The 16908-nt window shown below is 34.1% G+C and overlaps 1 long non-coding RNA gene across 1 annotated transcript in view; it reads left to right on the top strand.

Moving 5' to 3' along the window:
• The window catches only part of FOXG1-AS1 (FOXG1 antisense RNA 1), a 40078-nt gene extending 27569 nt beyond the window's left edge, over positions 1-12509 (top strand). The window contains exons 5-7 of the long non-coding RNA NR_125758.1: positions 8195-8349; positions 8500-8576; positions 12384-12509. This is a non-coding gene — a long non-coding RNA (FOXG1 antisense RNA 1). The remainder of the gene's footprint in view (positions 1-8194; positions 8350-8499; positions 8577-12383) is intronic.
• Positions 12510-16908: the final 4399 nt, after the last annotated feature.

Here is a 16908-nt window from a genome sequence, read left to right as displayed (position 1 = left end):
TGGAGATATGAATGTTTGGCCACTCCTAGTTGGAGCCAGGCCTATATTGATCAAGGATAATGAAAGGAAGTACTGATGATGGTATTTCTTTGACAGTTTCAGTTAACAGGAAGTATTAGTCTGAATTAGGGTGTAACAAAGGGAACAATGATTCAGTAAGTTAAAGAAGATAGAACTGGTTTTGTCCTTTACATAACAATCCAAATTGAATGGTTCAATTCTGCTCCATGAAGTTATTCAGGAATTAAGGTTCTTTCCATTGATTGCAGTATTATCCTCTAGGACTGTCATCTTCTGCATGGCAGAGACAGGGTCAGCTGCCATTCCAGCTGGTGATAAGGGGAAAGATAACATGGAAGCATACACACGGTCCTAAGACTTAGGTCCATAAGGGACACCTATCACATTAAATTCCATGGGGAAAAGAAGTCCACTATGAAAAGGAGGCTGGAATATTCCATTTATTCCTGCATGCAGGAATAAAAGGAGAGTATCTTTTGGTAGACAACTAATACTCTCCACTTTATGGTTTGTGCTGTTTGTTGACCCTATTGAAGTTTCCTGATGATGTGCAGTCTTTTCTTTGTGAAAAGGATAAAGATTGATACGGTTTCTGAATGGACCCTTAAATTGGACGAATAATACCACCCTTATTTTTCTGTAGACTGTGTTTTACACTTGCCTATACTGTGAAAAATAATAATCTTTTATTGGATAAGAGTCTCTCCATTCTTATTTTCTTCAACTTATTTGGTCTCGGGAAAATAGGACCAATATTAAAGCTGTCTTGTGATTTACCTATGCCTTGTGAATCTGTTTCTAGTCAGTTTCACTTAGAAGGAAAAGGGCCAGATTCTACCTCTAATTCTGCAAGGAAAAATACATTCTTAGTAGATCAGAATACATTTTAATCTACCCTTTTCCTGAATTAGATTAAAAAAGCTTTGCTTACTAAATAGCTTACAAAGTGTCTTCTTTTGAAATAACCTGTACAGATAACTTTGACAGGGAATTTACTAGGGAAATTAAACAAAGCTGCCTTTATTGTTAATGAATAATTCTTCAACTACAATTTAATATTAGATATACTATATTTAAAATGAAGAGAGTAATGTTCATTCTTGTAGGATAGTGATTATTTTCTAATTTTCTATTAGGACCAAACTTATGTTTTGATGTAATGTTGGGTTTTGTATGTCACAAGTCTCCAGCAGATCCAGAAAGGCCCTTTTCACCTGTTACTATGCTCACTTACTAGCTGATGTCTAAGTTTCTCTGCTAGAAATTATTTATCTTGGCTTAAGGCTGTACCTTGCTAAAACCCAATTATCTGTGAAAAAATTAACCTTTTAAACTTTATAATCATTTTATATTTTGTTCTGGCTGAATTTGTTGTTGAGATTTTTGAAAATGAGCTAGAAGAATCCTTGAGGTGGCTGTGAGAGGGTCCACTGACTATGGAAATGAACACAAAAAGATTTTTGTTTAAAAGATGAATTTAATTTGTGAATTTTCTCTCCATTGTAGGTCACTTTGAGTTCTGGCTGTCTTACAGAGGAAAAAATAGAGCTGATCATGACCATTATAAAAACGTATTATGTGCAAAAGATGTACATCATTCCCTGAATATTTTGGTTTTTACTTCAAATTAGAAAATTACTGTTGTTGATTTAAATAAAGGACAGCATCAACAAAATCATCATGAATTGGAAATAGTGAAATTTAATTTTTATAAATCTGTGCTAAACATTTTAATGGAAATATATTTTTAATATATATTTTAATGAAAAAATTTTAAAATATATATTTTAATATATATTTTAAAAATATATTTTAATGAAAAATGTAGTGGTGACAAATTCAAACAAGTAAAATAGGATTTAAGTTATATGTGTTAATAAGGATATTGATCTACTGTTGATATTCTGAAGCTATTAGCAATCAAATGTTACCATTAATTTTCAGCCCTTGAGCTACTACTTAGTTTTCTACTCACCAGTTCTACCTTTTAAAAAATTGCAAACAACATGGCTGTATGATGAGGGAAAAGCTTTACCCCTACTTGGACAAAAAATAGGCCCTGCTTGTAAGATTAGTTGAATGTTCAGGTCCTTGTAAGTTGTAAAGAATGAAGTTTAAAAATTTGTGTTAGGGGCCGGGAGTGGTGGCTCACTCCTGTAATCCCAGCACTTTGGGAGGCCGAGGTGGGAGGATCACGAGGTCAAGAGATCAAGACCTTCCTGGTCAACATGCTGAAACCCCGTCTCTACTAAAAATACAAAAATTATCTGGGCGTGGTGGCATGCACCTGTAGTCCCAGCTACTCGGTAGGCTGAGGCAGGAGAATTGCTTCAACCCGGGAGGCAGAAGTTGCAGTGAGCTGAGATCACGCCACTGCACTCCAGCCTGGGTGACAGAGTGAGACTCTATCCCCCCCAAAAAAAGAAAATGTATTAGGTACATTTTTTTATACTTTAAATTTGATTTAAGACATTATCTTGACTACCAATAACTCTACTGCTGTGAATCCTTGAAATTTAATGTTTAGATTTAGATCTAATAGATAACTACATTGTCAACTCTGTAAATGCTTGGCCATTTTATTAATGTTGCTATTTTCTAGTGCTTGCATATAGTAGACAGTAAATAAGTATTGAGTGGATGTCCAATAACTCTTTGTCATTTTAATTTGTAAGTAATTATTAATTCTTTTTCTTTAGGATACAGGCTAAACAAGAGTCAAAGGTAAGCCAAATGAGCTGGAGAACAGAGGAGAGATTAGACAAGGGCAAGTGTGTATAAGGTGGTAAAAGAGTACCCTGAGATAAATGTAAATGGTGTGCAATAGAGGTTTAAAGGATAGAGCGCTTGTACACAGTTTGGCAATTCAGGAATGCCTCCAGTAGGATATGGCATTTGAGGTTGAACCTCGCAGGGTTTGTGTGGCTGAGTGGTGAATTGTGAGGATAGTCATGGCAGAGAGCACATTCTATAAAGATTAGAGCAAATTCAGATGTTTTCCATCTCTGACCTTGTATGGTTATTTTACAGCACTTGTGTCACACACTGTTTTAATTATTTTGTACTGTTTATACCTCTCATGCCATCCACTAAATTATAAACTTCTTGAGGGCTATGTGTTAGTAAGTCTTGTATTTTCTGCTAAGTCTATGAGTGCTCTGTATACATTAATATTTTTAAAAAATTACTTTATATCTTTCAAGTTATCAAAGATTTTATAGTTTTCCTAATTACGTTGAATCTAGTGATTAACAAATGAAATAGCTCCTTGAATAGGCTGCACAATCAAGCATTTCTAAAACAGCAGTTTAGAGCTAAGGCGCTGGAGTTAGAATTGCCATCTTTAAATACTGGTTTAGCTGTTGACTAACAGATCTTGACAATTTGTTAACCACAGTGGACTCAGTTTTCTTATCTATAAAAAGGGATAATATTCATACATACCTAATAGAGCTCTGTGGTAGAATATAGATTGCTATAAATACTTTGCTACTCTTCCTTTTGAAAGATGGAGTCTAATATTCATCCCTTTGAGTCTGGGCTGGCATTTGTGACACTCTTAACCAGTAAACAATAATGGAAGTGATATTGTGAGACCTTTGAGGCTAGATCATATGAAGCTCTGAAGCTTTTGCTGATCTCTTTTTGAATGCTGCTCTTAAAAATCTTTCTGTTGGAGCCTTTAGCCTCCACATAAGGAGTTTGATTACTCCGAACCTTTAGCCATCATATAAGAAGTTTGACTACTCTGAGACTCATGAGACATGGGATCTCATGCTGGAGATCCACGCGTGGATTCTCTGGTTAACATTACTAGCTGAGCTAAACTTTTTGGCCATTCCAGGCAAGGCATGAGACACGTGTGTTAAGCCTCCTGGTATCCTTTATAACAGCCCATCCACCAGGTGAATAGCATCTGGTGATCTCAGCTGACTTCATATGTAGAACTAGTATCACCTATTATAACCCAACTCAATTTCTTGACCCACTTTCATTAACCATAAAATAATGGTTGTTGTTTTAAGACACCAAGTTTTGAAGTAGTTTATTACATGGTAAAAAATAACTGGAACAGGCTATTATGAAGATTAAATCATTTGCTGTATATAAAACAGCACAGCGCTGGGCACATATTATGTATTCTATAAAAGTTATTGCTATTATGATATTATTACACCATAACCACAATTATAAAGTCTGCATTTGTGTGTGTCTGTGTATGTCATGTTTGTGTATGTTATTTGCAAGTATTGATTAAATGGACTTGAAATGAAAGCCAATAATATGCTGCACTTTCATATAAGAGAAGCTTTAAGTCATTTTTTTAAAGATAGGGTCTTGCTATGTTGCCTAAGCTGGACTCAAACTCCTGGGCTCAAACAATCCTCCCGCCTCGGCCTCCTGAGTAGCTGGGACTAAAGGTGCGCAGCACTATGCCTGGCTGCTTTAAGTCATTATTCTATAAAGAATTCTTTTCTTTTTTTTCTTTCTTTTTTTTTTTTCAAGATGGATTCTTGCTCTGTTGACCAGGTCAGAGTGCAGTGGCATGATCTCAGCTCACTGCAACCTCCGTCTCCCGGGTTCAAGCAATTCTCCTGCCTCAGCCTCCCGAGTATTGGGGACTACAGGCATGCACCACCATCTCTGCCTAATTTTTGTATTTTTAGTAGAGATGGGGTTTCACCATGTTGTCCAGGCTGATCTCGATCTCCTGACCTTGTGATCCACCCGCCTTGGCCTCCCATCGTGCTGGGATCATAGGCGTGAGCCAGAATTGTTATCTTTCCCTGACTAAGAATTAAATGTTTTTCTTCTTCAGGTTTTTTCTTTTTTTCTTCTTTTTTTTTTTGGTCTTAGTGCCTTCTCATGTCACTCTATACTGCCCATCTGAACAGGCCATCTGACTGATCTTCACTACTTCCTTCGTTTCAGTTACCATAAATTCTTAATGAATTCTAAATATTTACCTTTAGACCAACTTATTTTTGAATTTCAGATGTGAACATTCAACTGCTTACTGAAAATCCCCATCTTAACGTCCCACAGGAACCTCCAGACCAACATAGTCAAAACTGAACCCCTTAGCTCCTTATCAAATTTCCTTATTTTAATTCACTATCCATTATTTGTGTAAGTCAAAACCTAGGTTTTTAACAAGAAGTCTGGCTTAACATCACAAATCACATTGGCACATGTTCATTAAAATAGGATCTGGTCTAGGTAATTGCAAAGTTTAAGGCTTTCATAATGTAGCTTATATATCATGATACTGAACTGTGTTTTATGAAGCAATAATACATTATAAATAATGCAGAAAATTTTATAAAGTGCCTGATTTTTGGGATATGCTAAGCAAACTACAAAAGTTTGGCACATCTTGGGATTTAAGCCTTTTCTATCTATTATTTTTCCTGCTCTAGCTTATTGAAACTTGTGACTAGAACCTTCCCATAAATTTTAATCTGAAGATATCAAATAGCCTTATAGATTTAATTTGTTTGCATGTTTCTTAATGCTTTGAAACCCGTGAAGTAATCAAGACTATTGCTTTTTCTAGTTGGCGCATAGCACCTTTTGTCTCCTCTCCATAGCATTGTCAAGAAAGACATTTTATTCTACGCCAGCCATTTATGTCCAGTCCCACTAGTACTCAAAATCTTGAAATTTTAAATTAAATTTAATCAGGCTGTTGTACAGAATTATTTCCACTATCCTAATGTCATTATGCTTCATATCATTTTAATTTATATTTAAGTACAATTTTTGTTTGTAATTTTTGGTGCTCTGATCTTTAATACCTGGAAATAATTTTAGCAAAAATTTATGTGGTTTACATTTGGGAAATGCTTTATCTTTCTGTTGAAGATTCACGATACATGCTAACATACGTAAACTCTGAAAAGTAAAAGCTTGTGGAAAATTATACTTGTTCAGGTTGTTTAATCCAGCAGTTCCCATGGAATGTAAAAAATGAATAACATTTGTCATACTATTTACTATTTAGTTTGAGAGACCTGCAACTTTAAAATTGATACTCAGCTTCGTGAATACCTTTTCTACTTCAGGGACTACATAAGAGAGGAAATCTTTCATTTGTAAACATTCTACTTTGTAGATAATATGGGAGTCTTTTTCCTTTTCTTAAATGGCTTCCCTCATTGCTCACCATTGCGTCAGATGACTTCCAAAATTCCTTGCTAATCAGTTTTAGGTGGGCTTGCTTTCTGAAGGTGAGTTTCTCTCTTTCCCCTGTCCCTATCCTTACATTGCCAAGTCTGTGTGTCCTCTTTCTTCTGCCTTTTTGCTTTCTTCCTTTCCTTTCTGACATTCTAGATTTTGTCTTGCTGATATTCTTTCAGCTTTATAGAATATTATTATTTTTGTGCTACCACAATGATTTTACAAGAAAACACGCGTTAAGGGATAGCTGTTTACCTCGGGATGCTTCAGTTAACAAAGTATTTTACGTAGATTTCCTTTAGTCTGAAATCTCTGTACTTCAGATTAGTTCCATCCCCTGACTTTTCAGAAACACATCAGTTGTATTAAAACGAAGCATATCTGTAACATGCTTACAAGTATGTGCTAATGTAACAGCACTAAGAGAAGAATAGTATTTTGGCAGATAAATTTTTAATTAATTGCTGTAATAAAATCAGCTAAAACTCTATCCTCCTCACAGCATAGAACATGTACTTCAGTTTTTAGGTCAGCTCCTACAAGACAATTAACTGGCAAGGAAGTCAGTGCTCTTCATTACATGGATACAACAATATCAGAGAACTGTTAGAATAACTTAAACTTCTCTAATGAGCTTCAGAGCTTTAATGAGAAGATTTTCTATTCTTATGTGATTAATATTGCTCTGTGATAGAAAGAGAACTTTTTTTTTTTCTGAAAGGAAATGTAGAGCAAAAGAGTTCAAGATAAATGATTCAGAGGAAGTTAAGAAGTGGTTAATCCCTTATAGCCCAAAGGGGCTTAATTATTGATAACTAGTAACTGCCACCAGCATAGGTAGGCTCTCCAAATAATCATTATAGCCTAGAATAAAGTAACAAAAACTATTTTTAAACTACCAGCATTTTAACAATTTATTTTCTGAATTCAGTCTATCAAGCAATTAGCTTAGATGGCTATAAAACTGTGTGAGCTTGTGAACCTATAAGTTTAGAGACACTTATGATTCACGATTAGTCTTGAAAATTTTTTATATAAAAATAGTCCCAGTAAATCACTAAGTCAAAATGGACGAACTGGTTCGATGTGTGTGTATGTGTATGTCTAGGTACACAGCTGTGTGTGTGTCTAGGTGTGTAGCTGTGTGTGTGTCCACACACATTTTGAAAATCAACAGGTTAGCAGAAACAGGATGACGAAGGAAGAATGAGAAAAAGAGATAGTTATAAAGAGTCACTGATAATAAGCAAAACATTCTTAGGATATGTGGGTGTATGTAATCAGTGGCCTTTTTGTACAAATACATCTTTTTTGACATATTAGCTTCCATCGACATCAACCGAAGCTGATTTCAGAATGTCAAGGAGAACTAGTGAGAAGTAAAAGTGACTGTAAAAGTAGTGGAAGTAGAAGCAGTGAAGATGTAGAGAAGTTTGTGAAAGAAGTAAAATAGACGTAGATGGTCATCACATTTAAATAAAGGTTAGTCATGCACTTTGAACAGACACTGGTTAAAGATATTTAGGAAAATAGAATGGATTTTAAATTTTAATTGGGGAAGCTGATTGTAAAGAAGAAGGAGTAAAAGCAAATACCAGAATAAAAACACTAGAGAGGGAAACTATTTCGTTATTAGTTTCAGCTATCTCCGAATGTGTGTTTAGGTTTCAACTTCAGCAGGAGACATCAAATTTATTCAGAAGAAGAGCTAAATTGATGATGGCATATCAATTCAAAAGCTATGCTTTTTGAAGCTTTTTGGGAAAGACATTCTCCTGTGTGCTGTCTTTTCACTCCCACTGGGCCACATAAGAATGGGCATGGAACCCTTCCTTACCAGTAGGTAAGGGGGCCCACACAGGAAGTACTGGGCTTATGGCCTTATGTGGGAATATCTTTTGCTGTTTCAGAATCAACGTGTAGTTCTTTGTTCTGCTTAAGTGGGTGTTTCAATAGTCCTCAGACATGTCCTCTCCCCACAATTTTTTTTCAGATACCATAGAGGAGAGGTCGAGGTCCTTCCACTGAAGCACCAAGTGGGGTATATAAAGCCACACTGCCCATGAGGGCTGTGGTGTGAGTCTGCTAGCCGTGAGAGACAGATGCATTACAAAGGGATGGATTTAGTGCACTCTTTCCTCTCTTACTGTGAGTAGATGCTGCACTTCTTGAACCTGGTGGGAGTGTGTGTTGTCTGTTCTCAGAGACCTTGAATCATACACAGTTTTTTTTTCACCCCCGGGTGACATTTACCTCCTTTTAACATTGGCTACACTCGTGTAATATTCTGTCCTGCAGCACAGCCTGAACAGCCAGTGAACAATGAAACAAAACTTCTTCCCAAGCCTCAATGAGGATTGTGCCATAGTTTGAAGGTAGGAGAATTTCAAGCCATTAATCGTCTATGAATACTGAATACCAGTGAGAATGGCTCCTTCAGGTCTATCAGCTTATTGCTGCTTCTGTGTTATTCTTAGGCCAAAGAACAATGGTCAATCCAGCAATCAACTCATTTTGGCTGATTTGTGCCTTTAGTCCAGGCTTCTCAGTTGTACCACACAGCCGTTCTTCTCTTCAATTTCAGGGTCATTCCTTCAGGAATTCTGTCAGGAATAAGCAGCAAGTTTCCTACTGCTCTGGGTCCTCCTTAGACCCTTCTTATTTCATGTTCAGAGGAATGAACTCCACATCCTGTCCTAAACTCCACCTTCCTTCTATTATTTTTTCATATTTGACATTGATACTCATTGAAACTAGAATCTGAATTATTACCACCAAAGATATTACCTTTTTTTTTGCACCGGAGAGCTTAATCTTTAAAATGTTCTGTGAGAGATGGGAATGGTGTACTATCTTTCTAGTGTGGCAAAAGAAGAGAGAGTAACAAAATAATTGTGTTCATATTAAGATTATTTGAATATAAATATTTTGCCAAATTTGTATTTAGGTGTCCATGTTATTTTTAATAATTGGATTGATATAAGTAGATCTTAAGAAATATCAAAAAAAACCGTTTTGTCAAATTGGAGTCAAGGAGGCATGGAAATTCTCTTCATTTGCAGTACTCCTAAATTCCTGCTTATTCTGTGGTTGAATTTATATCAACAAAGAGAATTGGAGATTAAGGCAATTAATCAGAAATTTTAATTAAAAAAGGAATGGAAAAAATAAGTAAAATTTCCTATAGAATTCTAGGGTTTGACATCTACACAGATATATTCATTAGGTAGAATAATAAGTCTTTTCTTTGCTCTTATGAAAATATTGTTCTCTAATTGTCAATGAGCATAAAGTAAAATGAAGATAGATTATACAAATATCCTTATTGATTAAAAGTTTAAAATTGCCAGTGCCCAAGAAATATGCCTGAATTCAAGGATATCTTATTGCAAAGAATATCTTACTGCAGTTTGTTTTTTTTCCTTACTGTAAATAAAGGGTCAACCAACAGCTAATAACTCACAACTGCATCTTTTCTTGTTAGAACATGTCGCCCAGCACTTTTTGATTAGATGTTCTCAGATAATAGCTGGGGCAGATTGACCAAAGGAGAGCAATTTTTTTTTTAATCAGGATAACATAATGATTCCATCACAAACTTTAGAAAGGGCTATGGATATCACCAATTTTCTTTTTTTGTCTATTATTAGTGCTGTATCTTTAGTGGAATTGAAGACATGACCTTCTGCAGGTTTCAATACAACTTTATAAAAGGCTGTAACAATGCCTTTAAAATCAAATCTATTAACTGTTCTACAGAGAAGCCAGTTTTCTAGTAACTTGGCCATAACTTAAAGACAGGGACCCTGAAAACACCAAGCATCTGCCTGCAATCTGAATTATCTCCCTGACTAGATTCAGTAATCTTGGCTCTTCCCTGCATTTAAGTCATTTTGTGTACATCAATTTTCTCACCTATGAAAGAAGAGAGTTGTCCAACATGTTCTGATGTTCTTTCAGTTCTGAGTTCTTTGGATAATTTGATTGGAGCCCAAGAGATGTCCTAAATCTGACTGGCATGCAGTAAATGTTTGTTGATTGTGAAAAAATATTTGACTTCCAAATGGGTTGTAAAATATCTCGTGTGGACATACTGCAGCAAGTTAACACTTATAATTTTGGGAGCAGAATAAATGTAATTAAGTCACAAATGCAAATGAATTCTCTGCTTATTTAATTCAAAGAGAAATAGTTGTCTAAAAACAATCTGACCCATATACTGGTTGAAAATAGTAAGCATTATTTTTTTATGAAGGGCCAAGTAAGTGGCTTACATATATTAAATGTAATAAATGTATTCAAAAAGATTTTCACCTAGTTGAACTGCATTTATACTTCATGAATATCACTAGTGTAATCATTACTTTAAAAACATATAGCTGGAGAAATAAGCATTTAGACAGGTAAGAAAACAGACTGAAGTTTTAAATTTTATTTTTAACAGTCATTCTAAAAGAATTATTTATCATTATATATTTGTATGACTGTTAAAAGTTGAAACAGAAAACATGGAAGTATGCTTTTAATTGATCATTGTTATATATAGAGAGTGAATTAAAAAATTTATGCATATAAAGTTACTAATAATTTTTTGAGCACATATAGTTTCCTACATACTTACCTATATCTATTCTTTAATCCTTGTAACAGCCCCATGAACTATCTACTATTATTATCATCATTCCATCTTGCAGGTGAGGAAGCTGAGGTCTAGAGAAGTTCATTAATTTGACTAAAGGCACACAGTCAATAAATGGTAGAGCCAAGGTTTGAACCCTGGCATTCTGGTTTTATGCTTTTAACCAGCTGCTTATTATTGGTATCTTATTGTGATGATTTTGGAAAACACTACTAATTTATTTGAAATGTATTAATAGTCTTTATTTATTTACAACTTTAATAAAGAAAAAGTTAACCTTTCCATATGTTCAAACAAGATGCATAATTTTCTCATTTATCATCCGCAGTTTCTATTTCTCTATGCTTTGTGAAATGAAAAGCTGTAATATCAAATTTTTATTTTGTTTTAATCATTTGTATGATTTGCTGGCCTTTGTGCTATTAAATAGAATGTATGAATGCTTTTTTAGCATTTAGTATTTAATATGTAGGGAACCCATTTCTAATGAATTGCCATGAGTTGAGAAATACTCTGTATGTACTCCCTGAAATTATAAGTAGCCAATACATGTCTCTATACATTCCTTTAGGAGGCCTTATTTTGTTCTGTTAGAATTATTTTAACTCAAAATATATTTTGTTTATAAATGATTGGATCATCTGTTTTACTCAAGCAATTGACATTGAATCACATTAATATTACTTCATTTTTTATTCAGAGGTTTTAAACATCTTTCCCTTTTACTGTTTTTAAACACTTAACACTGACAATTTTTATATCTTGTGATATAAAATATAATAAATTATAATCAAGTCAAGAATAAGAATGAAATGAAAGGAAGAAAGTTGAAAAAATCAGTCAAATGGTGTACAATGGTTTCTTCTTTAAGTAAGGGAAATAACAGTTTGTTTACAATGGAATCTATCTATTTCAAGACCCTTTAAGAATAATTTGTGTTGCAAAGTGAGAACATTTGAAGTTCCATTTGAAAAATGCAGTACTTCTGCCCTGGCGAAAATAGATAAGCTTCCGAGATTCTTCTTATGAAAAAGATAAGCCTGCTGCTACTACTGTTGCTGCTGCAGGTGCCGCAAAAAGGAAAAAAAAAGTCTTAAAAATATGTTAGTAGACACATATTAGCAGGAGAACACATATTAGCAGTTCCCTAGGGCTGTAAAAACAAGCATCTGCCATTGATTTTGTACTCAATTGAACTTCACAGAGTCACAGTCTTACATTATTAGATGAGGAATTATGTGGGTTTTAGTGAATTCTTAATGAAACCTATATTTTAAAAATTAAAATATTTTGATTTGATCAATCTTAAGTTGTATCACGTTAGTCTTATCCAAACTCATTCAAAATGTATATGGGATTGTTTCATGAAATTTTGATTTTTTTTTGAAAATTTTGCATTTCAGAGTTGTAAATATAGCTTATCTGAACTCTAGAAGTCATATTGTTCAGTGTTCCTGAAAGTAATGAAAAAAGTTATCTAGAATATGTACATATCAGTTAGAATGTTTGTGAAGCAAGTGATTGAAAATTTATTATCTTCCAGAGATGGCATCAAGGTGAGTTGATTCAGCAGCTTAACCTTGTCATCGAGCATTCCAGTTCTTTCAGCCTCTCTACTCTGCTGTCTGCAACAACAGTTTATACAAAGGCTGGTTTCTTTCTCATGTGAGATGGCTTTGTGTTTGCCCAGTGTGTGTGTGTGTGTGTGTGTGTGTGTGTGTGTGTGTGTGTGTGGCAGAGGGGCTTCTCATGTGTATAGGTGAAGTAAGTTGGAGTTATTTAGGAAAGGGAAGAGCAAAAAGAAAGAAAGAATACTGGGTAATCATCAATGCCCAACACAGGAAAGAGTGTAAGTAAATGAAACCTCTGTTTTTTAATGATAAATTTTGCATGTAGCATGTTCTAGTAAAGTTTGGCTCCACTGAACTTGTATTACTTTGTAAAATATTCAAAGTCATATTGAAAAAAATTCAAATGTTCTCTATTTATTACTTCCCTTTTGGAATTCAGTTATGACTCCTTAACATAGAGGCTCTAAATTCTTAATTATATAGCTGTGAAATAGACTTTTAAGTGGATTGTAATTTTATACATTTGTGAGCTTTTATTGCATTCATTTCTTATGGCAGAGATTGCTCCTTATTCTCACAATCTTTATTTGGGCCATGGCTGTTCTGCATATAGACTACTTGGCAGCCTCCCTTAGAACTAGGTGTAGCCATATGATCAAGGTCTGTTCATGGGAATATAAATGAAAGTAATGTGTACAACTTCCAGCCAATGCTTTCAAAGGAAAGGTGTGACACTTTAGGGCTGGTAGAAAGAAACAACAATAAGGAGCCTAGATACCTGGTAAGTTTTAAACAGAAGACCTAGTGTATCAGCCTACATAATTATGTCTATCTTGTATAAGCCATTTTAAATTTAGGCTGAACTTATATCCTAATGCAGTAGATAACCAATATCAATACATTGTCTAGAAATAAAACATAATTTTCTGTTGTTTTTTGATTTTCTTTTAGATGAAGTCTTGCTCTGTTGCCCAGTCTGGAGTGCAGTGGTACGATCATAACTCACTGAAGTCTCAAACTTCTGGGCTCAACCAATCCTCCCGCTTAACCTCCCAAGTAGCTGGGACGACAGGTGCATGCCACTACGCATTGCTATTAAAAAAAAAATTGTAGAGATGGGGTCTTACTATGTTGCCCAGGCTAGTCTTGAACTCCTGGCCTCAAGCAATTTTTCCATCTTGGCCTCTGAAACGCTGGGATTACAGGTGTGAGACACCACAAGGCCTGATTTTTTTTTTTTTTTTTTTTTTTTTTACTGGAAATTGGATTACAATCCTTCTGAGTACAATATAAAATACATTGCTTGTTGTTGAATAATTTTAGGAATGGAGTAGCATCATATGGAGCTTCCAACATTCTTATTTTGATTTTGTAGTTTTTTAATAAACACAGAAGACTTAACTGTTTTGAATGAATTTACCCATTGCAAGCAATTAACATCCAATCACTTTACTTAAAATAATCAAACCATTTGTGTATATATATACAGGATATATTTCTACTGTTTACTGTCTCAAAGCATTTTAACAAGCTATTGTGCTGGCAGAGTTAATTAGATCTGAAAACTGGTATAATAAAAACAATAAAAAACTGTAAGAATGCATTAAAATAGAACACCAAAATAATAGAACCTAAGGTTTCTAAAGTTGTATTTGACAAGTCAAATGTTCCTTAATAACTGGATGCATCAGAATACATTGTTCATTATAATATTAAAGGCATGTAATGAAATGAAAATTGAAGCAATAGAGAATTCAGTATGCACAATTATTTTAAATTTAAAATCTTACCCATAATGAACATAGCTAAAAACATAAAAGACAAATGATAGAGAAATTAAAAGCAATTATCAAAGGAATTCTCAGCAGAAATTTCTGATTTAAATTAAAGCCTATGATTAAAAATCTCCTGCCTCTTTGTCCCTCTCGCCTCTTCCCACAATTCCTTACTGCCTCAGCACCTTGTAACTTACATTTCTTTTCTTTAAAGACAATCATACTATGCTTGATCTATGTGGCAGGAATGAACATATCAACTTCACTTTTCATCAACTTCACATCTTTCTGGATCCTGTCTCTGTAAGCCCTAATGCTTAACTTGTGAAAGAACAAAGATGGAAATACTATTGAGTAAGGTCCATGAAAAGTGGAATTATTTTTCACCTACATAAATGTTAATTTTGTAAATAAAAAAGAAGACCATTTCAGATTTTTTTAAAATTGAGGCTTGAAATGGAGTACAGTGTATTTTGGTGGCCAGGCCTGGATTGTGATTATCTAGGTACCCTAAGTAGCAAAAAGATTATGGTCCCTCATCCCCAGATAATAAATGTGATGCATTTATTTATTCAATCAAAATCTGTTTTTGAATATTTGCTCAGGCACTCTTCTAGGCACTGAAGACACAATAGTTAACAAAATGACTTTTCTTATTATTTTCACATTCCAATTATTTAAATCAGTACTAATGATAAAAGAAACATGTGGCAATTCAAAAAAAAAGTCGCATTTCAGTTGATAAATCCTTTTTGCTTTTTTGGGAAATATCAAATTATTTTAAAAAATTTCTGCTCTTCTTTTTGCTTCTACATTGTGCATGTACTTAAATTTCATATTGGCTATTAAACACTGACACCACTTCTTTTCCAAGTATTTTTTGTTCATTTTTCAGATGCCACTGGTAATTAGTTATTTTTCTTTTATAGTAAAAAAGCTAGTATATTTGTTTACCCTTTTTGAAGAAATTGTAACTTCATAAGCTCTAAACTGAACAACTTGAACAAAAAACTAGGGAAACTTGATGTGGTTTTAAAAGTTAAAACCATTAATTGTGTTTTACTGGAGGATGCTGCCAATTAATTTTGTCTGAGATTCTTTATTCTTATGTTTATATAATACAGTGCGTACTTTAGAGGGACATATCCCAGATTTTTTTCAATGTAATATCTGATACATACAAAAGAATATATGTAATATATGGTCAAATTATTAACCATAACAACAAAACAAACAACAAGAATGCAGCATATTAGCCTAAACACTACATCATTAACAATATTTTTATTTGAATTATTTAAAGAAAAAATAACCTTTTTTGTCGGAGACATTTTTCCAGGTTATACGACCCACCCCCAAATTTTTTTTTCTTTCTTTCTTTTCTTTTTCTTTCTTTTCTTTTCTTTTCTTTTTTTTTTTTTTTTCTGAGACAGGATCTCACTCTGTTGCCCAGGCTGGAGTGCACTTGCATGATCGTATCTCACTGCAACTTTGACCTCCCTGGCTCAAATGATCATCCCACCTCAGCCTCCCAAGTAGCTGGGACTACAGTAGGGTGCACTATGCCTGGCTAATGTTTTAAAATTTTTGCAAAATTTCTGGCTGTGTTGCCTCCTTATATTTTATCTGATGTCTATACAATATTAGACTAGGCTAGAGTGTTGCCTTAAGGAATATTTCATTTTCTACTTTTTAAAATGCTAAAAGTAAGATTTATTCTGAAATAAGTCTGAGTGTATAGAAAAGTTGCAAGACCAGTATAAGTGACGTTTTATCTAAACCACTTAAAGTGAATTATCAATGCTATGCCCCATCATTCCCAAATACTTCATTCTGTAATCCTTACAAAGACATTCTTCTACCAACACAGTAATGAAAAAATTTTAAAAAACCATTGAAACATTACTATCATCTAATTTGTAGTTCCAATTTTTTTTGCCAATGTCAGTGACAAAAAGTTCAATGACAGATTGTATATTTCATTTAACTGTCACTTTAAAAAATTAAATAGTTTTGTTTTTAGAGTAGTTTTAGCTTCACAGCAAAATTGAACATAATGTACAGAATTCTCAAGTACCTTCATCCTCCCCCGATAATCTCCTGTGCTACAACTGTTGAGATCCTGCAACACAGTGATGCGTTTGTTATAATCGATAAACCTGCACTGATACTCAAAGTCCGTAGTTCATCTTAAAGTTCACTCTTGGTACTGTGAAATCTACGATATTTGACAAATGTATAATGACATGTGTCCCCCTTTGTAGTATACAGAATAGCTTCACCACCCACAAAAATCTGTTCTCCATCTATTCCTCCTCCCCTCCCACCTAACCTCTGGCACCCACTGATCTTTTTACTGTCTCCACAGTTTTGGCTTGTCCAGAATGTTACTTAGTTTGAATTACATAGTAAGTAGCCATTTCATAATGGCTTTTTTCCCCCTTAGTAATATGTATTTAAGTATCCTCCATGTCTTTTCATGGTTTGATAGCTCATTTCTTTTTAGTGTTGAATAATATTCCATTGTCTGCATGCACTCTAGTTTATATATTGATTCACTCGCTAAAGGACATCTTGATTGCCTCCTAGTTTTGTCAATTATGAATGAAGTGGCTGTAATCTGTGTTCAAGATTTTGTGTATACATGCATTTCCAACTCATTTGGATAGACACAAAGGAGTGCACTTGCTGAATCATATGGTAAGAGTATGTTTAATTTTGT

This window comes from Homo sapiens, chromosome 14, assembly GCF_000001405.40.
Source record: "Homo sapiens chromosome 14, GRCh38.p14 Primary Assembly".
Taxonomy (NCBI): Eukaryota; Metazoa; Chordata; class Mammalia; order Primates; family Hominidae; genus Homo; species Homo sapiens.
The sequence above is the reverse complement of the archived record's forward strand: the minus strand, read 5'-3'. Positions and strand labels throughout refer to the sequence as shown.